Source organism: Homo sapiens, chromosome 3, assembly GCF_000001405.40.
Source record: "Homo sapiens chromosome 3, GRCh38.p14 Primary Assembly".
NCBI classification, from domain to species: Eukaryota; Metazoa; Chordata; class Mammalia; order Primates; family Hominidae; genus Homo; species Homo sapiens.
In genome coordinates, this window is record NC_000003.12 from 195,835,341 (window position 1) to 195,862,056 (window position 26,716).

Below are 26,716 nucleotides of genomic sequence, written 5' to 3' on the forward strand. Positions count from 1 at the left end.
TGCTGGCACAATGAGAGTTTTGGGGCTGGGACCGAGGTGATCGGGTGCCAAGAGGAACAAGGAAGTAAGGGGATGTTTCAAATACAGTTTCATTCCGGGTTGCTCTGAGAACTGAGTGGGGAACAGGCCCTGACGGCATCCAGGGACAGGGCCAGGACGTGTGGGGGTTAGGGGGGTGCAGGGAGTGGCAGGCCTGTCCCAGCTCCGTCTACTAGCAGAAGAATGGGCAGCCGTGAGCTCAGGTGCGCCAGGCAGGGGAAATGGAATCGGCCGTCATGGATGTCCTGGCAGAAGTGGAGGCCGAGGAGGTCCTCTAGAAAGGGGTCTCACCCTTCTCCACAGGCCCACAAGGAGCCTCTTTCTCCTTTCACACCCAGGACGGGCCAGCAGGACCAGAGCAGTGGCCATTGAAAGTAACGTCCAAACAGGAAGATAAGGCCCAGGAGGCTCTGAGTCCCGGGTTCCCAGAGCTTTCCTGCCGCCACCCAGAAGCCCAGCAGGGCCCTCACTGGCAGCTGGCCCTTCCTCCCCAAGAGCCAGAGCTCAGACGGAGGCTCTCCCAGGGATGGCCTCCACCAGGGCTGCAGCAGAGCCTCGGCCATCTCTCAGCCCTCCCGGACAGGGAACCCCCTCCTCCCGGTTGGTTCTCCTGGGGTGAGCTTGCATGGCAGCCTGCTTCCTCCCACCTCCTGTTCCCTACACCGTCCCCACCACCGCCCTCCCGCATCAGGCCCCTGTCCTGCCTGCCCGTGCCTGATCGCCTGTACCCCGATCCATCGCTCTTCTTCTCCTCACTTCTCTCCTCCCTCGTGCACCTCTGGCCCCTGCCCATTGCTGAGATGGTTGACCCCTTTGGCCCTCAGCAAATTTAACATTCAGGAAAGGTCCACATTTCATAAATCCCTGTAATTCTAGGGTTGGGAGATGCTCCATCGAAGGTCACTTTGGCCCATCCCGGCAGCCCAGGATTGAGGTCTCCACCTTGCCCCAGACACAGCCAGCCCCTCAGAAACCAATGCCTACCAGCCAGACCCACGGGAGGACAACCGATGTACAAACCAGAAGGCCGGTGTATTAATTTAAAATGGAAAGCAGAACTCCCAAGCTGGCTGAATGCTTCATTTGCAGGTTGATTTATTCTCCCCTGTGTGGGTCTGTCAGTCTTCCATGGAGGCTGATGGAGGCTGTCCCTTTGCAAGGATTGTGTCTGGTGACGGGGCTGCCCCTTCACAGCTTCTGGATAGCTGAAGACTCAAATTGGAAAGCTTGACGAGCCTAGAAACAGGATTAGGGGAGAGGAGGGTGTGAGACTGCATTTCCCAAAACAGAGCATTCTTGCATGAACAGCTTTCCAAAAAAAGAAAAAAAAAAAAGACACCGTGGATAATGAAGCTTGCAGAAGGCTGCGCTCACCCGCTTCTGGAAATTCGCACTGTGCATCGGCCTCATCAAAGCTCTGAAACAAACACCACCTTACAGGAAGTTTTCCAAACTGACCTGACCACGAAGTGTTTTCCCTCACCCTCCCTAATACTGTCCGACGGGCAAGGCCAGGCTACTGCCAGGAATGATTTCCCAGGCCTCTCTGAGGTGGGGAGGTGGGGAGCTGGGTCCCCGTGTCCAAGGCCCCTGCCCTCCCACCAGGCTTTTTCCTGGGAGCAGCCTCCCAGGATGCCCCCTTCTTGTTCTCCTTTGACCGGCTTTTCAGGTACATCCTTTCTCGATCCATGTCACTGATGCTGCCTAGGCACTGAGGGCCTGCTCCACCCTGATGTCAGCCGGGGAGGCCTTTCTGTGCAACAGAAATACCACACCAGCAACACAGGGACAAAAGGAACAGGTTACAGGGATTAAACACAAAAACATAAACTGTGGGTGCCCTGAACTAATAAAGGAGCAGATGTCCTCAAGGGATTTAGACACAGAGGCATGGACCTGGGCTGAGTTTTGGGGTGAGGTGTGGGGAAACCAGAATTGCTCCAGTTTATAGAGTGGCCAAGATCTGCAGGGTCAGGGATGATCTGGGAGGGAGGGGTGAGGAGAGCCTTGGAAAGGAAGACAAAGCCAGATCTAGCAAATAAAAATAGAGAATATCCAGTTAAATGTTACTTTCATATAAACAGTAGATGATTTTTTTAAGTATTATAATCACATACAAGATTTGGGAACCCTTATACTAAAGAAGATTTGTCATTTATGTGAAATTCAATGTGGCTGAAGATCCTGTATTTTATCCGGTAATCCATGCAGTAGCAGGAGGGGGAGGCTCCGTTGGGGGGCAGCAGGGTTGCGGGTTGGGGGAGAGACTGCCTGCCTCTTGGCGACAGGCAGCAGCTGGCCATGCAGCATGGCCAGTGGCCTGGAGATCACAGTCAGAGCTCTCCAGCAGGCGGGTGCCTCACGGAGATGGGGCATGGGGGCAGAAATCAAAGAGAAACGCCACATCTCACACTGGGATTGACGCAGGGACAGAGGACGAAGCAGAAATGCCTTGTGGGATGTGCAGCCCAAGAAGCCACAGGCAGGACATGGGAGCCGGAGGCGGCACGAGAGCGTCACCCGCACCAAAGGATTCTCGGGGTCTCGGGACTTGGGAGCCGGAGGCGGCACGAGAGCGTCACCCGCATCAAAAGATTCTCGGGGTCTCGGGACTTGGGAGCCGGAGGCGGCACGAGAGCGTCACCCGCATCAAAAGATTCTCGGGGTCTCGGGACTTGGGAGCCGGAGGTGGCACAAGAGCGTCACCCCCACCGAAGGATTCTTGGGGTCTTGGGAGAACCTTGTACTTGACGAGGGAGGCGGAACGGGCTTGATCCATTCTTATGTCTAGGCCCCATGGAAAGAATGACTCCAGTTGGCATTTGTGTTGTATGTTTGTATACACACACACACACACACACACACGTACATATGGATCTGTGTGTGATCTGGTCCATTGGTCTATGTTGGTTTTACGAGTCTAACTCTCGGAATCCTAGTGATACCTTATTGTTATCCTTGTTACCATCATAAAAGGGACCTCAGGGTCCAGTGATGTAGTGTGTAGTTATGTATACTGCTTTAGAAACATGAAGAAACTCAGGTCTGGGCCAGGCACAGTGGCTCACACCTGTAATCCCAGCACTTTGGGAGGCTGAAGCGGGCAGACCGCCTGAGGTCAGGAGTTTGAGACCAGCCTGGCCAACATGGTGAAACCTCGTCTCTACTAAAAATACAAAAATTAGCTGGGTGTGGTGGCACATGCCTGTAATCCCAGCTACTCGGGAGGCTGAGGCAAGAGAATCACTTGAATCCAGGAGACGGAGGTTGCAGTGAGACGAGATCACCACTGCCCTCCAGCCTGGGTGACAGAGTAAGACTCTGTCTCAAAAAATAATAAGTAAAAATAAAAATAATAAATAAATAAAAATAAACTGAGGTCTGGAGGCGTGAAATGGCTTGTCCAGAGCCACACAGCAGAGCCGAAACAAGAACCCCTGCAGTGACCACAGCTGTTTCTGCCGTTCTAACTTCTCTCTCCACATTCAAATGAGTTAACATCTGTGTGTGTTTCCCCGTCTGTAAAATGGGAACCACAGGAGTCTCTCACAGGGTGGCTGCAGGATTAACTCAAACTGTACGTGATTAGAAGGTGTGTCCCACAGGTGGGTGTTCAGTAAGAGCTGGTTGTTTTGACTATTATGTTTACACCTGTGTTTTTTCAGTCTGAAAAGCTGAAGGCATGACAGGATTAGAAGTGAATGAAAAGATGTATTGAGAGAACACCCATGAAAGGAGGAGGGTCTGTCAGTCATCTGCTGCTGCCTAACAAATGACTCCAAAACTGAGTGGCTTCAAACAACAAACGAGTATTTCACGCAGCAGCACACTGCTCCCCTCCCCATGCTCCCTAAGTGGGCCGAGGAAGCTGTTCTTTATTTCTGTTTCTTGATTTCAACAGATGCAGAAAAAGAGGAGCTGTTCTTTGAAAGACAGCATGGGTGGTGCAGAGGATTTGGGGCTCAGGGAGAAGTGAGACCAAGGAAGTCACAAACAAGTAATTTTCTTTTCCATCAGCTCATGTTTGCTAAGCTGCAGCCTGTCTCTGTCGTGCCGGTGTCCCCAGCGGGAGCCGGCCCTGGAGGGAGGCAGGTATTGAGGAAGGCGTCACGCAGCAGGTGGCCCCTCCGCGGAGTTTTTCAAGATGGTAGAAATTAGGCAGGCCAAGAAAGGAAAGGGGTCTCTGGCAGACGGAGATGAAGCAAACATCCAGCTGTCTCCCTCCTCCCCTCGCCCTTCAGCGGGAGAGATCTGGTCCTCCAAGCGGCCCCGGCCAGCCCTGGGTGGACTGTTAGTTCATCACTGCAGTTGGTTGGCTGGACGCTGAAGTTCCAGGAAGGTTTCTGGGCCTGACCCTGGCTCCCTGCCTTGTCGGGTTCCCATCTGGAGGGCATGAGCAGGAGTGACGCTGGCCAATCAATCAGATCTTCAGATGCGAGTGGATATTGAAGGCTGGTAGGACCGGAATAGGTGGAGGAGGAGCCCAGTGGTGGACGAAAGGGCCAGGACACACTGTCCTCTCCCCTGCCCTCATCTGCCCTCCCTGTCAGGAGCTGCTTCCCCTGTCTGCTCCCCTCCTCCTGGGGAGGAGCTGGGGCCCAGAGCCCACACACTGTATGCAGGATTGCAGGACTGAGGCTGAGTGCAGGACTGCCGGCATGAGGCAGGGGTGGAAATGTCCAAAATACCTGCAGCTGGGAGACACATGCACGCGCTTTCTCCATTCTTCCCATTCTTACTTTAAAAAAAAGCAATATACAAATGTTTTTTAAAATCTGACATTAGAAAATCACATATATTAATTATATTTAATTTATAATTAAATGTATATATTTTTATATATTTAATTTATAATTAAATGTATATATTTTTATATATTTAATTTATAATTAAATGTATATATTTTTATATATTTAATTTATAATTAAATGTATATATTTAATTTATAATTAAATGTATATATTTTTATATATTTAATTTATAATTAAATGTATATATTTATATATACACTTAATTTATAATTAAATTTATATTTAATTTATAATTAAATTACATATATTAGGGCTAGGTGCAGTGGCTCACGCCCATAATTCCAGCACTTTGGGAGGCTGAGGTGGGTGGATCACTTGAGGTCAGGAGTTCAAGACCAGCCTGGCCAACATGGCGAAACCCCGTCTCTGCCAAAAAATACAAAAATTAGCTGGACATGGTGGCACGTGCCTGTAATCCTAGCTACTCCAGAGGCTGAGGCAGAAGAATTGCTTGAACCTGGGAGGCGGAGGTTGCAGTGAACCAAGATCACACCACTGCACTTCAGCCTGGGTGACAGAGCAAGACTCCATCTCAAAAAAAAATAGGCCGGGCACGGTGGCTCAAGCCTGTAATCCCAGCACTTTGGGAGGCCAAGGTGGGCGGATCCCCTGAGGTCAGGAGTTCGAGACCAGCCTGGCCAACATGGTGAAACCCCATCTGTACTAAAAATACAAAAATTAGCCAGGCGTGGTGTCAGGCGCCTGTAATCCCAGCTACTCAGGAGGCCGAGGCAGGAGAATCGCTTGAACCTGGGAGGCAGAGGTTGCAGTGAGCCGAGATTGAGCCATCGCACTCCAGCCTGGGGGACAAGAGCGAGACTTCATCTCAAAAAAAAAAAAAAAAAAAAGAAAAAGAAAAAGAAAGAAAGAAAGAAATAATAAAATAAAATCACATATATTAGAAAATCACATATAACCCTCCTTCTCCATAGTTAAACTTAATAATTTTTTGCTCCTAATTTTCTCATCTACATATATATTTTAATATAGCTGAAACCACACTGTAGATACAACTTTTTAGTCTGTTGTTTTACTTACTATATTAAGCATGTTTAATATTACTATGTATCTATAATTTTAAGGGAAGAGCTTCATCAAGTAGTTATACCATAATTTAACAAACTTTTCCCTTATTATTATTATTTTTTAGACAGCTCTTGTTGCCCAGGCTGGAATGCAATGGCGCAATCTCGGCTCACTGCAACCTCCAGCTCCTGGGTTCAAGCGATTCTCCTGCCTCAGCCTCCAGAGTAGCTGGGATTACAGGCATGCGCCATCACGCCCAGCTAATTTTGTACTTTTTTTGGTAGAGACGGGGGTTTCTCCATGTTGGTCAGGCTGGTCTCGAACTCCCAACCTCAGGTGATCCGCCCGCCTCAGCCTCTCAAAGTGCTAGGATTACAGGTGTGGGCCACCGCACCCAGCCAACTTTTCCCTTATTGTTGAATATTTAGATAGATTGTTTTTGCTTGGTTTGCTGGTTTCACTACTCTAAATATTTGCCATGGAAACTATGCCTACAGCTTTTCCCTCTCTTTTAGTATTTCCTTAGGATAGATTCCCAGAAGTAGTATTACTGCATCAATGTGTAGAAATCCTTGGTGGCTCTTAACACACATTACCAAATTACTTTTCAAAAATTTGCACCTCAATTGGGCACAGTGACTCACACCTGTAATCCTAGCCCTTTGGGAGGCAGAGGTGGGCAGATTGCTTGAGCCCAGGTGTTCGAGACCAGCCTGGGGCAACATGGTGAAACCCCGTCTCTACAAAAAAATTAGCCGGACATCGTGGCAAGTGCCTGTAGTCCCAGCTACTCAGGAGGCTGAGGTGGGAGGATGGCTTGAGCCCTGGAGGTGGAGGTTGTAGTGAGCCATGATGGCACCACTGCACTCCAGCCTGGGTGACAGAGTGAGACCCTGTCTCAAAAAAAAAAAAAAAAAAATTGCACCTAGAAATGTATGAAAGTGCCACTTTCACCAAATCTTTGCAAGCACTGGGAAGTATTTTTAAAAATCATTTTATAGTTCAGTAGTTTAAAAATCATTCCATGGGGCCAGGCATGGTGGCTCATGCCTATAATCTCAGCACTTCGGGAGGCCGAGGTGGGCGGATCACTTGAGGTCAGGAGTTCAAGACCAACTTGGCCAACATGGTGAAACCCCGTCTCTACTAAAAATACAAAAATCAGCCGGGCGTGGTGGCGGGCGCCTGTAATCCCAACTACTCAGGAGACTGAGGCAGGAGAATCGCTTGAACCCAGGAGGCAAAGGTTGCAGGGAGCCGAGATCAAGCCATCGCACTCCAGCTTGGGTGGCAAGAGCAAGACTCTGTCTAAAAAAAAAAGAATCATGCCATGTATTTTAATGTATTTTTTTTTACCACTTTTGAGAGTTAAATAGCTATTTTTCCTGTGCGTGTGTGTGTGTGTTCTCATAGTGAATTGTCTAAACAAGTCCATCCAGTTAGGATCTTAGTATTTTTCTTATCAATCTAGGTGAGTGTTTTCATTAAATACTGATACTGATAGGGACACTTTTGTCAGATTTGTTGCAAATATTTTCCTTTCCCTATAATTTGTTCCTTTTCTTTTTTTTTTTTTTTTTTAATGAAGTCTCGCTCTGTCCCCCAGGCTGCAGTGCAGTGACATGATCTCTGCTCACTGCAACCTCACCTCCCTGGTTCAAGCGATTTTCCTGCCTCAGCCCCCCAAGCAGCTGGGACTACAGACGCCTGCCACCACGCCCAGCTAATTTTTTGTATTTTTAGTAGGGACGGGGTTTCATCATGTTGGGCAGGCTGGTCTCGAACTCCTGACCTCAGGTCATCCGCCTGCCTCGGCCTCTCAAAGTGCTGGGATTACAGGCGTGAGCCACCGCACTCGGCCTGTTGTTTTTCTTTATCCTCTCCTTTTAAAATGTTAAAAAAACAGACTGGGCATGGTGGCTCACACCTGCAATCCCAGCACTTTGGGAGGCCGAGGTGGGCAGATCACGAGGTCAAGAGATCAAGACCAGCCTGGCCAACATGGCAAAACCCCGTCTCTACTAAAAATACAAAAAATTATCTGGGCATGGTGGTGGGCGCCTGTAGTCCCAGCTACTCGGGAGGCTGAGGCAGGGAGGCAGAGGTTACAGTGAGCTGAGATCGTGCCACTGCACTCCAGCCTGGCGACAGAGTAAGACTCCGTCTCAAACAAACAAACAAACTAGTGGGTTTGGAGGCTGACCTGGGAAGACTGCTTGAGCCCAGGAGTTGAAGGTTACAGTGAGCCAAGATCGCGGCACTGCACTCCAGCCTGGGGAACAGAGTCAGACCCTGTCCCAAAAATACACAGCTGGTGGGAAACAGGCGTCTGCGCACGGAGTCCCTGGCAAGCTCTTCCACGTGCCCGGCGTCACCGGGCTGCACCCGAGCAGGGTGGTCTGCCTAGCACGGGAGGGGGTCACGATGCCAATCAATCAATAAATAAAAAATCATTTTATAGTTCAGTAGTTTAAAAATCATTCCATGGGGCCGGGCGTGGTGGCTCTTGCCTGTAATCCCAGCACTCTGGAAGGCCGAGAGGGGTGGATCACAAGGTCAGGAGCTGGAGACCAGCCTGACCAACATGGTGAAACCCCGTCTTTACTAAAAATACAAAATTAGCCAGGCGTGGTGGTGGGCACCTGTCATCCCAGCTACTCGGGAGGCTGAGGCAGGTGGATGGCTTAGAACCCAGGAGGTGGAGGTTGGAGTGAGCTGATATCGCGCCACTGCACTCCAGCCTAGGCAACCAAGCAAGACTGTCTCCAAAAAAAAGTATTAAAAATAAAGCTAGATTTAATGAAGATCTGAAGGATGCTTTGCTTCATCAATTTCAGAAAGAAATAGAAGACCTGAAAAAGAAGCTCACAGAAGGGGAAGAAATATCAGGCTGTGATGTCAGTGGGTCGGACGGAGATGACAATGAAGAGGGTAAGATTGGAGAAGATGAAGAGAAAAGGAAAAAAGGGGGAAATAAAGTCTTCCCAGAGAGGACGGTTGAAACGCCGGCGACAGCGGATGCGGAGAGAAAGGCACTTGAAACAAAGCTTGACGTGGAAGAAGAAACAAGGCTGCAGCTAAATTCGAGAAACAGGAAAAAAGATCTTAAAACCCAACAAGAGCATCAGTCTTTGCCAGAAAAGTTCTCTGCCCTGGAGAAGAAGGTAATTGTTGGTGGCGTTGATTTGTTGGCCAAAGCCGAGGAACGAGAGAAACTTCTTGAAGAATCTCATACAGAGCTGGAAGAAAGGAGGAAAAGAGCAGAGCAACTTTGCAGAGAACTTGAGGGAAAAAGGTAAGAAGGCTTGGAAACTGAAGGAAAATAGACCAGTTTGCAAGAGGAACCACAGGGAAAGACCGAGATCTTAAAGAAAGTTTGGGCCGGGCGCAGCGGCTCACACCTGTAATCCCAGCACTGTGGGAGGCCGAGGTAGGAGGATCTCGAGGTCAAGAGCTCGAGACCAGCCTGGCCAACATCGTGAAACCCCGTCTCTACTAAAAAAGGAGGCTTGGTAGAGTTACTGGTTTATAGTGTGTTCTTTAAGAATCCTTATGTTGCCTATACCAATAGTTAGGGTGTTAAAATGTAATCGTATTCTCTGTTTGTGTTTAGATTATTATAAAGTAGAAATGTAATAAGGCGAGGAGGTTGCATCACACACTTGCCCCATGAATGGAATCCATTCCATATGCTATTTCATTCACTTTCTGGAGAAAGGGGAATTTTTTTGCAGCAAAAATTTCAGGTGACTTTGTGGTAGGGGGCGGTGCTACTTCATCTGTAACATATTTTTAAAACCATGATTATGCTTTGGGTTTTTTGTTTTTTTTTTCTTTTTGCTTTGCTTCTGTTTCTTTTTAGTCTGTTTTTAATATCCTTCCCCTTCACTTTAATCTCAAGGAAAGTCCTCTTTCCTGCAGGGCTGTGAATTAAAGAATGGGCAGAGTTTACGTTTAAGTAAGCCAGTGTCTGCTCAATTTCCTAATGTACACATTTGTTTTCTTTTTAATTATTCCTTGTTCTTAAAAATACTAGGAGAGGCCGGGCACAGTGGCTCATGCCTGTAATCCCAGCACTTTGGGGGGCCGAGGTAGGTGGATCACCTGAGGTCAGGAGTTCAAGACCAGCCTGAACAACATGGTGAAACCCCGTCTCTACTACAATTACGAAATTAGCCGGGCGTGGTGGTGCATGCCTGTAATCCCAGCTACTTGGGAGGCTGAGGCAGGAGAATTGCTTGAACCCGGAAGGCAGAGGTTGTGGTGAGCCGAGATCGTGCCATTACACTCCAGCCTGGGCAACAAGAGTGAAACTCCGTCTCAACAAAAACAAAAACAAAAATCCTAGAAGAATAGAAGAAAACATAGATCTTTTTCTTTCTTTCTCATTCTTTCGTTCTTTCTTTCTTCTCTCTCCTTCCTCCCTCCCTCACTCTTTTTCTTTCTTTCTTTCTCTTTCTTTCTTTCTTTCCTTTCTTTCTCCATCCTTCCTCCCTTCCTCCCTCTTTCTCGCTTGCTCTCTCTCTTTCTCTCTTTATCTCTTTCTTTCTTTCTTGTTCTCACTTTGTCACCCAGGCTAGAGTGCAGTGGTGCAATCCCCACTCACTGCAGCTTCAACCTCCTGAGGTTCAAGCGATCCCCCTGCCTCAGTCCCCCAAGTCTGAGACTACAGGCATGCACCACCTCTTCAGGCCAATTTTTGTATTTTTTGTAGAGATGCATTTTTACCATGTTGCCCAGGCTGGGAAAACATAGATTTTCTAGTGCCCTTAAACTTATGATGTAATCTAACTCATTTAAATAATTAATAACTTCAGCAGTATTACTGCAATACTGTATACTGGCCAAAATTACAAAGTGAAGAGTAAGTCAGCTGCATCAATTTCAAAAGGCATGCTTTCATTGTACTTTATGTATAAATTGTATCTGTTCAAGTTGTATATATTGATATTGTTGTATATATGCAGCATGGTTAAATAAGAATAACAATTTTTTACCTAAAAAAAAAAAATAAATGGAAATAGCAGTAATCCTGGACCAGAGGAGAGCACTGGATCTCAACCTAGAATGGAGGCCCTCCTACAGACACCCTGGCCTGTGAGGGAGCAGGGCCCAGGGTAGGGGACCCAGGAGGTCTGGCCGTGCAGATCGATTATGGAAGCTGTGAACAGTGGAGAAGAGTTATGCTTTGTTATTTTGTTTTGCTTTGGCAAATGTAACTAGGACAAAAATTGTCCTTCTTTCCCTAGGCAGCTATGGGAAATTCTGGCTTTGCCTATGTTACTAACCACTCCTCAGGAAACGAGAAAAGTGATCAGACTCTTCCGAGGAGGTCAGTCTCTGGAGTTGGCTAACCTTTCAGTTTAGCTCTTCAAGACCCACGGGCTTCCTGCAAACCTTGGCGGTGGCCTCCAGTGGAATATGAAGTGACCAGCAAAGTCCCATGCGGGGGGCTGGTGCATGTTTTCGAAGGAGGAATCGTATCAGAAGCTGAAGGCAGCTCACATCACAACTTGTTTGCAGGGATTTTGTCGCATCTTTCAGTAAAATTAGCAAAAGTGTGACAGCAGTTATAGAGATGTCTGCTGAGGCTGGAAAAATAGCCAGTGGGTGACTCTGCCTCCCCAGTGAGGCTGTGGGACGAGACCTCCCAGGCTAGGCTGCAACTAAACGGCAGAACCGAATGACAGAGAGTGGCAAAAAAATCATTAAGCAGTTTTAGATCAAAACATCTTCCCACTGGGCAAGTATATAATTTTCCCCACCAAGATCACCAAGATCAGACAAGGGGGCCGGGTGCGGTGGCTCATGAGTACTTACCGTGTACCTGTTACTTGCCAGGCTGTGGGTACAGGAGATAAACCTGGTCTCTGCCCTCATGGAGCTTCCTGTCTAGTGGGAAATCTTTCCCCAGCTGTCTGGTGTCCACTCCCTCTGCCTGCCCACTTCTGACCCTTGCCCTCTTCCTCCCCCGCCCTGGGCCTCGCTCCTCTCTTGGCACCTATGGGCAGAGAAAGAGGTTGCCCAGGTTATCAGCCACACCCCTTTGGGCTCCGTTTCCATTTCGGAGTGTGGCCTGGTCTCTGCTCTCCCCAGGGAGGTTTTGTGCATTAGTCACTCGGCTTGCGGAACATGGGTCAGCAGAGATGATGGGGTCACCAGGAGGACAAGGCTGCAGAGCAAGGACTTGCCCCAGAGTCTCACCGCCTCTGGGCCCCTCTGGAATGACCACGGCCAAGCCTGTCCTGGGGAGAAAAGAAGGCACAGGCCGGTGATGGGTCTAGCTGGGGCTGGCGCTAGGTGCGGGGCCCCACCGGTGACATGCCTGATCTGTCCACACGCCCGGAGGAGGGCAGTCCCGGCTGTCCTGGGCTGGCCTGCGCTGCCCCCTTCCCTCCTTTCCAGCCTGTCACAAACCCTGGCACTTCCTGCTTGGTGCCTCGGTTCAGGCCTGGGTCTTGCTCCCTGGGACCAAGGAGGGGCTTCCTCCCTGATCACCCCCGCCCCGGACACCACACCTTCGGTTCACCCTGTGCCCACCTCTGCAGACTCCCAGGAGCAGCCCTGCACAGCGCCTCCCCCACCTCCAAGCCGGACCAGGCCACACCCTCCCCAGTGCTTCTCCTGCTCATCCATGGACAACGCTACAGGCCACCGAGTTGGCCCCCACACCCTTCCTGGGGGTGGGGGTATCTTTATGAAAATGGAGGGGAAATAGAGATGCTCTCAGCATAACAGTGCACCAGAGTCGTGAGGCCACCAATGATGGCAAAAGAAAGGTGCGCTGGTTTTGTGGCTGTGCCTTTCCGAGGGCCATTTTCTTTCACCCTCTCCCCTCCTCCATGGCTCCTAAAGTCTTCTCGTCTGCTCCAGGAAGAGGAAGATTGGACGGAGCCAAGGTCCTGGGTGGATAGAAGGGCCTCCAGGACCCCCTGGATGTGGAGGAGGGAGGGAAAAGCTAGGGTAGAGCAGAAAGAATCCCCAGTGTCCCCATCCTGGGCGAAGGCGGCTCTGAACATGTAAATATTTGATGGATTTACAAGAAAGATTTCCTTCTGGAATAGACTGTATCTTTACACTCTTTCAGATAACATGGGAATAGTTGAAGAGTCCTAATGTTACAAGGAAGGGGTCTCGATCTAGATCCCAAGAGAGGGTTCTTGGATCTTGTGCAAGAAATAATTCAGGGTGTGTCTGTAAAGTGAAAGCAAGTTTATTTTTTTGTTTGTTTGTTTTTATTTCGAGACAGAGTCGCTCTGTCACCCAGGCTGGAGTGCAGTGGCATGATCTCGGTTCACTGCAACCTCCGGCTCCCAGGTTCAAGCCATTCACCTGCCTCAGCCTCCCGAGTAGCTGGGATTACAGGCGCCCGCACCACGCCTGGCTAATTTTTGTATTTTTAGTAGAGACAGGGTTTCACCATGTTGGCCAGGCTGGTCTCGAACTCTTGACCTCATGATCCACCACCCGCCCCAGCCCCTGGCCTCTCAAAGTGCTGGGATGACAGGCGTGAGCCACCATGCCCGGCCCGAAAGCAAGTTTATTAAGAAAGTAGAGGAATAAAAGAACAGCTGCACCACAGATGGAGGCCTGAGGGCTGCTTTGCCCATTTTTATGGCTCTCTCTTGCTGATATGCTAAACAAGGGGTGGATTATCCATGCCTCCCCTTGCTAGACCATGTAGGGGAACTTCCTGATGTTGCCATGGCATTTGTAAACTGTCATGGTGCTGGTGGGCGTGTAGCCATGAGGACGCCCAGAGGTCACTCTCATGGCCATCTTGGTTTTGGTGGGATTGAGCCGGTTTCTTTACTGCACCCTGTTTTATCAGCAAGGTCTTTATGACCTGTATCTTGTGCCAACCTCCTATCTCATCCTGTGACTTAGAATGCCTTCACCATCTGGGAATGCAGCCCAGTAGGTTTCGGCCTCATGTTACCCAGCTCCCATTCAAGATGCAGTCGCTCTGGTTCACACGCCTCTGACACGAATAACAACAGCTAAGGATGATCGAGTCTCTACCGCATGCCAAGCACTTAGCATTGTGACCACTCTTTGTGGCAAATTCTTTTGATGTCTATGATACGGAAGAGAAAACCAAGGCTCGAGAAGGGTGAGAAAGTTGTTCGCGATCCTACACCCAGGCGGGAGTGGGGTATGCCCAGGCGGTCTTGACGAAAGCCCACGTTCCTAGCCATGACACTGGTGAGGTGGCCACGAAGAGGAAGGGACCTCCCATCACTCCGAGGCCCAGCTGCAGCCCTTGGAAGGCTGCACACCTGAGCGTGGTGTGCGCTGAGGCCGGGCCTCCCGGGGCAGCCCCAGGCAGCGGCTGGCTGCGGCAGGGGTGGGAGGGCAGGGGTAGGAAGGCACACGGCGGGTCTGGGGCGCTCCCTCCCTCGTTCCTTCACGCAGGTGCAGACTTGCATGGCCGTCTGAAGGCTCTCCCAGCTCCTCTGGCTGCCTCCTTATTTTCTCTCACACAGTCACCTCCCCTAATAGAACCCTGGGGAGTTTAATCCCCATCTCACGACTGCTTCCCGGAGGAGCCGGACGCACACTTGGCTGTGGATTTGTTCTCCAGCCACGCTCAGCTCCAGCCGGGACCGACGCGCTGAAGCCGCAGGGCCGGGTGCCGCCGGCAGGGGGCGCGCGCAGACAGGGAGGCCCCACCCCGGCCCGCGGAGGACGCGCTCCCCTCCCAGCGCAGCCCCGGCCTCAGCGCCTCGGTCCGCTCCGCCTGCACCTGCCAAGCCCGGCGTGCTGCAAAGCCTCGCTCAAGCTCACGTTAATTCCAAGTGAAGCTCAGGGGCTCTCAGTCCTGGGTGCTCATGACAACTCCGTGGAGAGCTTTTTAAAACTTATGGGCCACCGCCTGGCTCGGTGGCTCACGCCTGTAATCCTAGCACTTTGGGAGGCTGAGGCAGGTGGATCACCTGAGGTCAGGAGTTCGAGACCCGCCTGGCCAACATGGCAAAACCCCCGTCTCTACTAAAAATACGAAAAGTAGCCAGGTGTGGTGGCAGGCACCTGTAATCCCAGCTACTGGGGAGGCTGAGGCAGGAGAATCACTTGAACTTGGGAGGCGCAGGTTGCAGTGGAGCTGAGATCGTGCCATTTCACTCAGCCTGGGCAACAAAGCAAGACTCCGTCTCAAAAATAAAAATAAAAAATAGGCCAGCCACGGTGGCACATACCTGTAATCCCAGCACTTTGGGAGGCCGAAATGGGCGGATCACGAGGTCAGGAGTTCGAGACCAGCCTGGCCAACATAGTGAAACTACTCTATTAAAAAATGCAAAAAATTAGCCGGGTGTGGTGGCAGGCGCCTGTAATCCTAGCTACTCAGGAGGCTGAGGCAGGAGAATCACTTGAACCGCGGGAGACAGAGGTTGCAGTGAGCTGAGATTGCACCATTGCACTCCAGTCCGAGCAATAGTGCGAGATTCCATCTAGAAAATATAAATAAATAAAAATAAAAATAAATAAATAAATAAATAAACCTGGCCACGGCCTAGGGACCGTGCAACTCTTGATCACCTACAAACACCTGGAAAGCACACGTTGTGGCAAACATGGGCTTTGGTGACAGGAAGACCTGGGTCCAGATCTTGCTTGCTACCTGCTTACTAGCTGTGTGACCCTGGACAAACTGCTGAACTTCTCTGAACTTGGTTTTCTTAGCTAAAGAGAGAGAATATAAGACTTCTTATGCTTGTCAGGAGGATTCGTGTAATACCATGTCAAGTTCCAAGCACAGGGTTCTCTCTGGTGGACCAGTCGTTCTCAGCGAGGACAGTGATGACCCCTAGTGGACAGTGTGGGAAGTTCTGGGAGTGTTTCAACGAGGACAGTGATGTCCCCTAGTGGACAGTGTGGGAAGCTCTGGGGGTGTTTTCAGTTGTCACCGAGCCAAGGGCTACCGGCGCGAAGGGCCCGGCCTCCTGCAATGCGTGGGGCAGTGATGCGCCATGAGGAAATGTCACGGATCCTACGTGACAAAATAGTCTTGCGAACAATTTTAAGACAAACTGAATTTTCCGGGAATGCAACTACTGTGTAAGTTGAGAAAGTTTCATAACGTGTTTTGTTCGGCACTTTACCAACAGTTGTTCACCGACGTGGAAATCTTATCACTGGCGGCACCTGCCGCGTGTGGTATCTGAGTGGCCGTGACTCGTGCGTCCGCCCTCGTGTGTCACACAGTCACTTAGGCACAAGCATCTGACCCTTGTAACATCTTAGAGAAACGCTTCTCACGCGCCAGTGCACACAAATGCCTGCGGAACTTGTCAAAGTGCAGTCTCCTGTCCAGTTGGTCTGAGGGGGGACCTGAGAAACTCATGCTATGAGGTCCTAGTGTAGTCACGCCTAAGTGTGTGTGCAGAGAACACATTTATTATAAACTACGCTTCTCTTATCTCTCCTTTTTTTTTCTTTTTTTTGAGTCTTGCTCTGCCACCCAGGCTGGAGTGCAATGGAGTGATCTCGGTTCACTGCAACCTCTGCCTCCCAGGTTCAAGTGATTCTCCAGCCTCCCAAGTAGCTGGGATTACAGGCATGCGCCATCATGCTGGGCTAATTTTTGTATTTTTAGTAGAGACGAGGTTTCACCATGTCAGCCAGACTGGTCTCAAACGCCTGACCTCAAGTGATGTGCCCGCCTCAGCCTCCCAAAGTGCTGGGATTACAGGCGTGAGCCACGACACCCAGCCTCTTATCTCTTGTACAACACTTAGGGCATCATCTTGGGTCGAGTTCCCCAGGAAACACTCTGAGAGGGAGATTTGTGTGCCTGTGAGGGGCAGATAATACAGGATCGGGCAGAGGGAGAAGTGGAGCTGTGATATAGTCATAGCAGAGGATGCAGCTGGTCCCTCAGGGCTTAGGCCTGGGGTGGCCTTCAGAGATGTCCCAAATTGATGCCGGAGTGGAGACTCGACCGGTCACTGGATGTGTGCTTCCCCTCCCCCCAGGGACAAAAATGTGGCTCTCTTGGGCCTCAGCTGTGAGCTGTGAGCAGCCGACACTCCTGCAGCTGGAGGAAGGGTCTTGGTCCTGGATGACTGGTGTGGGTGGCAAACCCCAAATCTGCGATCAACAGTACGCTGATGTTTAAACATGGTATGTGGACAGATTACATTACCTTTGGAATTTAATTTCAGTATAGTAAGGCAAACCCCGAATCTGTGACTGACAGTAGGCTGATGTTTAAACACGGTATGTGGACAGATTATATTACCTTTGGAATTTCATTTCAGTAAAGTAAAGGTGTTGCAAAATATTTGTCCTAGAAAGGGAACACTGAGTTTCGTAGGTTTACAGCCTCTGTACAGGGTAAATGGCAGAGGCTCCTATTACCAGAAATGATAGTTCACCAAGCTCAGCAAATACCTACTGAGTGCCTACCATGTGCCAGGCGCTGTTTTAGGCACTTGGAGATACATCGATGAACAAAGCAATGAAGGCCTGTCCTCACTGGAGCTTACATTCCAGCAGGTGACAAGGGGTTACAGGCTGTGATCACAGTTTTCAGTTTCAGGCCCACATCTGCCCTCTGGATGACCCACAAGGCATCCCATAGTTGGCATCAGTCAATGGGTACCTAGTTTACAGCAAACCCACCACAACAGCTGGACAGGCACAGAGAACTCTTCTCTCTGACCAGAGGATCTGTGCTTCCAAAAGTATGGAGGAAATTCCCATTGGCTTTTTTTTCTCGTTCCATCTTCTCTTTGTTTGGCCGCAGAGGCAGCTGCAGTCTCAGGAAGTGTGTGGTGAAGCAGGGAAGCTAAAGCCCAGGCCTTCAAGCCAAAGAGCCAGAAAGGGTGGGGGAATAAGGGTGGGGTGGGGTGGCCCCAAAGCCAGAAAGTGTCACAGAGACTGAAGAGAAGGAGGTGCTCAGGGCAGGAATCCCATAAAGCTGGATCCAAGCTCCTGGGCCCATCCCTCGACGGCACAGGCATGGACCGTAAATATCCCTCGACGGCGCAGGCGCGGGCCGTAAGTATCCCTCGACGGCGCAGGCGCGGACCGTAAATTGCACACCGAAGGCCCTGAGAACTGAACCGTGGGTAGATTATCACCCCGGTCCCAGACTGGCCACTGGTTTGTGCACGTGTGGGGCAGATCCCAACCACAAAATACAGAGACTTGAAAACTGACATTGGAGCTGCCCTCGCTGGAACTTGGGGTCTCAGCCTAAGTCAACTACCTGCTAAAACCAACCTGCTGACAAACAAAAATAACATTCTCTGCAGGCTTTAAACAAGACCCAGAATCTCATAACTTCATCTTCACAGAGTCTAAGATACAATCCAAAACTACTCAACGTACAAAGAACCACAGAACTCTCACATCTCACAAGGAGAAAGACAAGCAACTGAGGCCAATCCCAAGATGAGGCAGGTGTTGGAATATCACAGACGTTAAGCAGCTGTTATAACCATGCTCCAAGGAGTAAGAACAAACACTACTGAAGTGAACAAAAAGATACATCATCTTGGCAGATACATGAAATATTAAAAAGAAATATGAAAATTTTAGAACTGAAAAATACAACAACCCAAATAGAAAATTCGCCTGAGAGGCACAAGATGAGAATGGGCCACAGGCCATGGACCTCCACAGGCAGCCCCGAGGCCTCCTCGGGTTTGGAGGACGTGGGTGGAGGGCACTGAGACCAGCACCAAAACAAGTGGCTTTGGTCCCAGAACCCTTGATGCTGCTGCCACTCAGGCCACCCATGTCCAAATCTGCCCAGTCCTGCCTGGCTCACAGTCTGGCTGTGCCTGCCTCCCCTCACCTCCACCCCTGCCCCACAACCATTACGCATTTCCTCAACTGCCTCCTCTATGAGCCCCTCCCACCCAGATGCAAGCTCCCACCGGGAGGGGACTGGTGGTTTCTCTCTTACTGTCATCACGACGCTCTGCATACAGCAAGAGGCACAAGAGGAGGTCTGGCAAAAGGAGGACGCACCTCCAACTTGGTCTGCAGGGAAGAAGCAAAAGTGAACAGGAAATAAGGTCTCGCAGCTGGAAGTTCTGACGCTTTGAATTCCTCACAATTTCTCAACCCCATTTCAAGACGAGGAAACTGATGCCATTGAGAGATTAAAAGGCTAGAATGGGCGGGCGCGGCGGCTCACGCCTGGAATCCCAGCACTTTGGGAGGCCGAGGCGGGTGGGTCACTTGAGGTCAGGAGTTTAAGAACAGCCTGGCCAACATGGAGAAACCCCGTCTCTACTAAAAATACAAAATTAGCCGGGCGTGGTGGCATATCCCTGTAATCCCAGCTACTTGGGAGGCTGAGGCAGGAGAATCGCCTGAACCCGGGAGGCAGAGGTTGCCGTGAGCTGAGATCGTGCCATTGCACTCCAGCCTGGGCAACAAGAGTGAAACTCCATCTCAAAAAATAAAATAAAATAAAATAAAAGGCTAGAATGAAGTTGCACACAAGTAGCAGAGCTGGGGCCCAACCCAGGGCCTTTAGCAAGGGAAGATGACAGAGCAAAGAAAAGAGGCACAGACAGCAGAGGCAGCTCTGGGAAGGGCCAAAGCATCAGCCTCCGCCGTCGGCCTTCTCCTTCCTGGGACAGAACGCCAGAGCTGGGAGGGGCCCGATCTCCTCCTTTACGGTCTGTGAAACTCAGGCCCAGGGAAAACAGGGGCCTGCCTAAGGTCACACAACCAGTGGCAGAAATACCTGCTTTCCTGAACTGTCTATATTTAAGTAAAACTAAGTACAATAAGGCTTTTAGAAGCTTCATCAGGATTTCATTTTTACCAAAATATGTACAGTGTAAGAAGAAAGTTCTTGAGCCAGGTGCAGTGGTGCATGCCTGTAGATCCAGTTACTCAAGAATAGCAACACCCTATCAGAAAGATAGGGAGGGAGGGAGGAAGGGAGGGAGGGAGGGAGGGAGGAAGGGAGGGAGGGAGGGAGGAGTGTAGAGGTGTGCTTAACAAATCTTTTGCTCAAATAGCATAATGGGCCCAGGCGCAGTGGTTCACACCTGCAATCCCAGCACTTTGGGAGGCTGAGACCGGTGGATCACTTGAGGTCAGGAGTTCGAGACCAGCCTGGCCAACATAGTGAAACCCTGTCTCTACTAAAAATACAAAAATTAGCCAGGCGTGGTGGCACATGCCTGTAATCCCACCTATTCAGGAGGCTGAGGCAGGAGAATCACTTGAACCCAGGAGGCAGAGGCTGCAGTGGGCCGAGATCGCACCACTGCACTCCAGTCTGGGCAAGAGAGTAAGATTCTGTATCAAAAAAAAAAAATAGCATAATGGCCAACTGTGATTTTTTCAAGGAATGCACCAGAGTAAATGCTAAGCACTGAGAGGGGATGATTCAATAGTAATAGACTTAGCACAGTTAGGTTTCTTTGGCAATAAGAATAATAGAAGAAAAATGGGAACTATCTCTATAACCAGCCAAACGGGAATGACAGAGTATTTTGGCACATGTGCTCAATATTTACAAATCTATAATAAAGTGAGCACGTTAAAAAACATACACACAACAGGAGAGAAGCCCCAAGCTGTGCAACAGTGATTGGATTCAAGAGCCAGGATGAGCTGAAGGTTCCGTTGTTCTCTTTTGCATGACACTTAGGGCAGCATCTTGGGTGGAGTCCCCGGGAAACACTCTGAGAGGGAGGTTATCCAGAAGCTCTATAATGAGAATGTTCTTTTGGCAAACAAGGTAAACATTTTATTTGGGGGGAAAAAGCCATTCTTTTATTTTGGCACAGGGCTGACAGTTGGAATGACAGCTTGTGTGATGTCAGGCCCTCCATACCTGCTCACCTGTTCCTGCTTTGCTCATCACTGCCCTCTGGCTCCCAGCACAGTGCCAGGTACACAATAGAAAGTAGAAAACATGTGTTGATGAATGGATTAATAACATACTTAGACATAAGATATTATTTGAAATTTTAAAACTTCTATGAGGGGGCAGAATTTTATTTTTCTTTTTTCCTTTTTCGACCTCAGAAGCTTCCAGAAAAAAAAAATCGTTTTAATTAAAAAGAAAAATGCCTGGGTGCGGTCGTTCACGGCTGTTATCCTAGCACTTTGGGAGGCCGAGGCAGGTGGATTGCTTGAGCCCAGGAGTTCCAGACCAGACTGAGCAACATGGTGAAACCCTGTCTCTACAAAAAATTAGCCGGGCGTGGTGGCGCCTGCCTGTAGTCCCAGCTACTTGGGAGGCTGAGGTGGGAGAATCACCTGAGCCTGAGAGGCAAAGGTTGCACTGAGCCCAGACTGCGCCACTGCACTCCAGCCTGGGCAACCGAGCAAGACCCTATCTCAAAAACAACAACAAAACTTCTAGTACAGAAAGGAATTAGAATTATTCTAAATGGGAAGTATGTAACTGAGACAAAGAAAAATAAATGCACATTAGACAGAGGAAGCTGTTAGCTTTCTTGCCTGCAGACTAGGCTGTGGTTAAACAGCATCGTTATCAGACAAGACAGAGTGCTAGTAACCCCGGACTTCGGCAGCCGAACCACTCCCCCAAACACAGTGCTGCCTGGGCCTCTGAAAGAAGCTCAAGCCTGTAGCGCCGCCACCTCCGACCCGGGTTAGGCCCGACACGGCTTTTCCTCTGATCAATTCTCCTCACTCCCAAGGCCATGAGGAGCCCTGAGGTTCCAAGGGAGAGAGGGTGAGCGGGGTGGGCGGCTGGCAGGCCAAGAAGGGAAGGGAGTAGCGGGGCTCCCTGCAGGCTGAGTCCTTCCAGAGCCACCCTGGCTCAGGGATGGTCACTGCTCCAGGGCCCTCTCTGATACTGGCAGGGGAGGACATGGGACTGGGGACCCAGTGATTTGCCATCACAGACAGTATGTCTTCCATTTAAACAATTACTGCATTTTGGCCGGGCGTGGTGTCTCAAGCCTGGAATCCCGGCACTCTGGGAGGCCGCGGCAGGACGATTGCTTGAGCTCGAGAGTTCAAGACCAACCTGGGCAACATAGTGAGACCTCATCTCTAAAAATAAAATAAATAAAAATGAAATAAAATAATAAAATAAAATAAAAATCCTCTGGGCATGGTGGCTCATGCCTGTAATCCCAGCACTTTGGGAGGCCTAGGCGGATGGGTCACCTGAGGTCAGGAATTCGTGAGACCAGCCTGGCCACCAGAGTGAAACCCCATCTCTACTAAAAATACAAAAATTAGCCGGGCATGGTGGCAGGCGCCTGTAGTCCCAGCTACTCGGAGGCTGAGGCAGGAGGATCGCTTGAACCCGGGAAGCAGAGGTTCTGGTGGGCCGAGATCGCACCATTGCACTCCAGCCTGAGTGACAGAGTGAGACTCCATCTCTCTCTCTATATATATATGTATATATATATGTATGTATATATATGTATATATATATTTTATATAAACATACATATAAAAATTTTACATAAATATTTTAAAATATATGTCCAGAACATAAGTCCTTTCTTTAAAAACATATATGGCCAGACACGGTGGCTCACGCCGGTAATCCCAGCACTCTGGGAGGCTGAGATAGGTGGATCACCTGAGGTCAGGAGTTCAGGACAAGCCTGGTCAACACGGTGAAGCCCCATCTCTACTAAAAATACAAAAAAGTCAGCTGGGCGTGGTGGTGTGTGCCTGTAATTCCAGCTACTTGGGAAGGCTGAGGCAGGGGAATCGCTTGCACCTGGGAGGTGGAGGTTGCAGTGAGCCGAGATCGGGCCACTGCATGCCAGTCTGGGTGACAGAGTAAAACTCTGTCTCAAAAAAAAAAAAAAAAAAAAAAAAAAAAAATATATATATATATATATATAGAGAGAGAGAGAGAGAGAGAGAGAGAGTACATTTTCTTTCATAAAAAAACTCAAAACTTATGTTTTATTTTAATAAGAGAGCCAAATATTTCTGGAAAACCTTTTAGCACTATTTATTAAAACAATTTGTTACAGCTGGGTGCGGTGGCTGACGCCTGTAATCTCAACACTTTGGGGAGGCCGAGGTGGGTGGATCACTTGAGCACAGGAGTTCGAGACCAGCCTGGGCATCATAGTGAGATCTCATCTCTACAGAAAAAAGAAAAAAAAGAACAAAACTATGTGGGTATAGTGGCGCCTGCCTGTAGTTCTCACAGCTTGGGAGGCTGAGGTGGGAGGATCCCTTGGGCCTGGAGGATCAAGGTACGGTGAGCCGAGCTGAGCTGGAGCCACTGCACTCCAGCCTGGGAGACAGAGGGACACCTTGTCTCTAAATAAATGAACAGTTACAAGATAAAAAACATTAACAAAATGTGTTAACTGGAGTTTATCCACAGAATAAAAACTAGGTAGTGTTTAAATATTCTTTGAGAAGATGAATTTAAAGATACAGAAAACTGGCCAGGCACAGTGGCTCATGCCTATAATCCCCGCACTTTGGGAGGCTGAGGCGGGAGGATTGTTTGAGTCCAGAAATTCGAGACCAGCCTGGGCAACATAGTGAGACCTCGTCTCTACTAAAAATAAAAAAATAAAAAAATTAGCCAGGTGTGGTGGGGCACGCCGGTCACCCCAGCTGCTTGGGAGGCTTAAGTGGGACGATCGCTTGAGTCCAGGAATTCCAGGCCACCCTGAACCATGATCATGCCACGGCACTCATCCTGGGTGACAGAGAGTGACCTTGATTCAAACAAAAAACCAAATAAAATAAAGATAAAAATAAACCTTAAGGAAACCCTGCATGCTGGATGACCTTATTTTATAAAACCGTAATACACATATATGTGCACAAAAAAAAGTGGAATATATCAAAATTTTAAGTGGCTTTCTGGGTCTTTAATTTTCTCACTGCGCTCTTCTGAATGGTCCAAGTCAACAAAGAGCATGTATAACAATCATAAAAACATTTTTTTTTAATACAGTGGAACTGAGGCTTCCCAAATGGAGTGACGTGATGCGAGGACTTCTGCTGGAGAGTGACTGCCCGCTCTCCCAGCCCTCAGCTTCCCTCCAGCTAGCCCAGAGCCGCAGGTTTCTGGCCCAGGTGCAGGCGTGGTGTTTTTCAGAGCCCTCCACCCGTCTCCTTTCCTGACCTTAGATACTGGCTGGTCCCCGTTTGGCTCCAGATGGCGGGCGACCCAGTTCCTTCCCCTCCCAGCTTCCCTGGGCTGACTCCCTTTAAGCACCCATGGGCTTGAGCCAGCAGATTTGGAATTAATTGATTTATTGGGCAATGAATACACAATCTCATCCCTCCCACTCTGAAATTTAGCCAGAGGGCCTGCAATGCCACATTTTGCCAACAGGTGGTGCTGCCTAACACGAAAGCTCTCTGGCCCCGGGTCCTCAAGATGGACTTCGGGGATCATTAAAATAGCAGTCATTGGTGAGGGGCATCCTGACAGGGCACGGGGGACACAGTTACCGCCTAACACCACCACCACCACTACGCAACAACAGCCATTTCAGTACCAAGAACTCAGGAAGACACATCCAAATAAAGACCGTCCTTGAAACGGAATCTCTTTCATTTTAAGAAAAGCTCGGTCCTGCAGTTCTTATCATTTCACCTCAGGTGGCTGAAAACTTAACTCTAGACCGGCAGCGGCCCTGGACTGGCCTTCAAGAACCCTTGCTCTCGACAAAGACTCCAGCAGTTGGAGGTTCCTCCAACCTCCAAATGCAGTTTCTGTACAAATGAACTTGCTTCCAATTAAGGAAACCTTTTGTCCGCAGGGAGAGACGCACTAGGCCTTTCCTCCTTTTGTGGCTGCAGTGGAGCCGCCAGCCGCTTTCAAGCAGCCCCATCCTGAGCACCCAGATGCAACCCCACTACCCCTCTGGCTATTCCTGATGTCTTCCTTTGTCTACAAAGTCAAAAGAACTCAGCATTCCACACCAGCAGCCTCATGATCCAGGCCTGCCTCACGCGCCAGGATCACGAGAGCCGCCTCTAACCCACCCCCAAAACAACAAAAGGATGCGCTCTGGCCTTGCCAACTTCAGTGCCTGGGACAAGCCGGCTCGTGCCCGCCGCCTCGGCTGCAGGGCCCTCCACCTGCAGCGCTTTCGTCCCTACCTGGCGTTCACCGTTCTCACCCATCACATCAGCACAACGTGACCTTGTGGGGAGCCACCTCCTCTGCTCCCAAGACACCTGGTGCGTAACGATTACAGAGCACCCGTCCTGCCGTGATGCTGTCACAGTCCCCCAAAGGCTGTGGACCCATCTGGGGCACGGACTGTTTCTACTTGGCTTGTGTTTCCTCATCAGGGCTCCACACACAAAAAGCACCCGACACCTCCCCACTGAGTTGATTCTCCCTGTTGTTGATTCTGCCTGTTGTTGATTCTGCCTGTTGTTGATTCTCCCTGTTGTCGATTCTCCCTGTTGTTGATTCTCCGTTGTTGATTCTCCCTGTTGTTGATTCTGCCTGTTGTTGATTCTGCCTGTTGGCAAACACACCTGGGTCAGCGTTTCAACTTCCCAACTTAAGATCTTTTCAGTAAACCCAGGAGATGCTGGAAAAGCTGGCAGGCCGATTAGAAGCAAGAAAAACATAGCAGGAAACCCAGGGTTTAGGGAACTGTGTGTCTGGCAGGAAAAGTACACTGGGTTCCCTGCTCCCCTGAGAAACCTCGAGCTGCTTTGACATCCTCTGCCCCCTGCAAAAATCTTTCTGGATGTGTTGGCTCTGAAACAGATTTTTAAATGCTTGTAAAGCATACACACATCTGGATTGCTTACAAAAAATTGATGTGTTTTTTAAAATGAAGTAAAAACACCTATGATCTATAAATAGGATAATTGTGAGCAAAAGAATAAACTTTCTGAAACAGAAGGAAAATGAGAAAAGTAAAACACAATTCTATGCGCAGAGTGTGGTCAGTGTATAATGTGAGCTATTGATTAATAGAAACAGGCAGGAACACGGGGAAATAACATTTATAATAACTACTGTTTGGTGGGAACTGACTGTGGCCCATACTCTAAGCAAAATGTTTCACCTTCACAACCTCAGTCAGTCCTCACAACCCTTCTATAAGGCAGGAATTACTCCATCAGTTTACAGACTCAGAAAGGTGAAATAACATTTCTAAGACGAAACAGAGCTAGGAATGAAATCCAGGTCTAACAGCAATGCTCAACACTCACTTAATATGAACTTGTTCTGGCTGGATGCGGTGGCTCACGCCTGTAATCCCAGCACTTTGGGAGGCCGAGGCGGGCGGATCATGAGGTCAGGAGTTCAAGACCAGGCTGACCAGTATGGTGAAACCCCATCTCTACTAAAAATCCAAAAATTAAAAATCCAAAAATTAGTCGGGTGTGGTGGTGTGCGCCTGTGGTCCCAGCTACTCAGGTGGCGGAGGCAGGAGAATCACTTGAACCCAGGAGGCAGAGGTTGCAGTGAGCCGAGATTGCACCACTGCACTCTAGCCTGGGCAACAGAGCAAGATGCCGTCTCAAAAAAAAAAAAAAAAAAAAAAACTTGTTCCCTTTTGTGATATATTTGACTAGGTATTTTAAATCACAGTTAAAATAATAGAATTCCTGCCTTTGCAAACGGCATATGCAAAGCTCCCAGGCCTCAGAACTTCTGAGCCTCGGGGCCTACCCACGAAGGCCAGCCTACAGCCAGACACACACGTGGCCCAGACTCACCCTGAATGGCCTCTGTTTTGTTTTCAATAAACCCGAGTCATTAAGCTTACTTTCTTATGATTTACCTCTTTTCCTAAAGTTCACATGATCATATGTGAAGCTCAAAGAGCTAGTTTCCTTGATTGATCCAGTAATTTCCTGGAAAGCAGTAAGAAACCGATGAATAATCTAACATTTTGTAATGGGCCAAGGATATT

At 49.4% G+C, this 26,716-nt stretch overlaps 2 long non-coding RNA genes and 1 pseudogene across 3 annotated transcripts, besides 3 other annotated features; 1 reads left to right on the plus strand and 2 right to left on the minus strand.

The window, feature by feature from the left end:
- Nucleotides 1–1,114: 1,114 nt before the first annotated feature.
- Nucleotides 1,115–25,064, minus strand: LINC01983 (long intergenic non-protein coding RNA 1983). Of its 2 annotated transcripts, none has more exons than NR_134939.1 (2): nt 24,933–25,064; nt 1,115–1,275 (listed from the first exon to the last, which is right to left on the minus strand). It is a non-coding gene; the product is annotated as a long intergenic non-protein coding RNA 1983 (long non-coding RNA). The 2 variants fall into 2 exon arrangements; NR_134940.1 differs by lacking the exon at nt 24,933–25,064 and adding an exon at nt 18,793–18,888.
- On the minus strand, nt 3,852–11,770 carry LOC107984010 (uncharacterized). The gene is made up of 2 exons (XR_924880.3): nt 11,697–11,770; nt 3,852–4,777 (listed from the first exon to the last, which is right to left on the minus strand). It is a non-coding gene; the product is annotated as an uncharacterized LOC107984010 (long non-coding RNA).
- KIF3AP1 (kinesin family member 3A pseudogene 1) lies at nt 8,648–9,256 on the plus strand (annotated as a pseudogene).
- Nucleotides 15,483–15,983: an enhancer, noted in NCBI's record as "H3K4me1 hESC enhancer chr3:195577694-195578194 (GRCh37/hg19 assembly coordinates)". NCBI's record gives its function as "activates a minimal SCP1, AML or CMV promoter by ChIP-STARR-seq in naive H9 embryonic stem cells {active_cell/tissue: H9 hESC(naive)}" and the evidence as "EXISTENCE:reporter gene assay evidence [ECO:0000049][PMID:30033119]".
- Nucleotides 24,451–24,975: an enhancer, noted in NCBI's record as "H3K27ac-H3K4me1 hESC enhancer chr3:195586662-195587186 (GRCh37/hg19 assembly coordinates)". NCBI's record gives its function as "activates a minimal SCP1, AML or CMV promoter by ChIP-STARR-seq in naive H9 embryonic stem cells {active_cell/tissue: H9 hESC(naive)}" and the evidence as "EXISTENCE:reporter gene assay evidence [ECO:0000049][PMID:30033119]".
- Nucleotides 24,976–25,498: an enhancer, noted in NCBI's record as "H3K27ac-H3K4me1 hESC enhancer chr3:195587187-195587709 (GRCh37/hg19 assembly coordinates)". NCBI's record gives its function as "activates a minimal SCP1, AML or CMV promoter by ChIP-STARR-seq in naive H9 embryonic stem cells {active_cell/tissue: H9 hESC(naive)}" and the evidence as "EXISTENCE:reporter gene assay evidence [ECO:0000049][PMID:30033119]".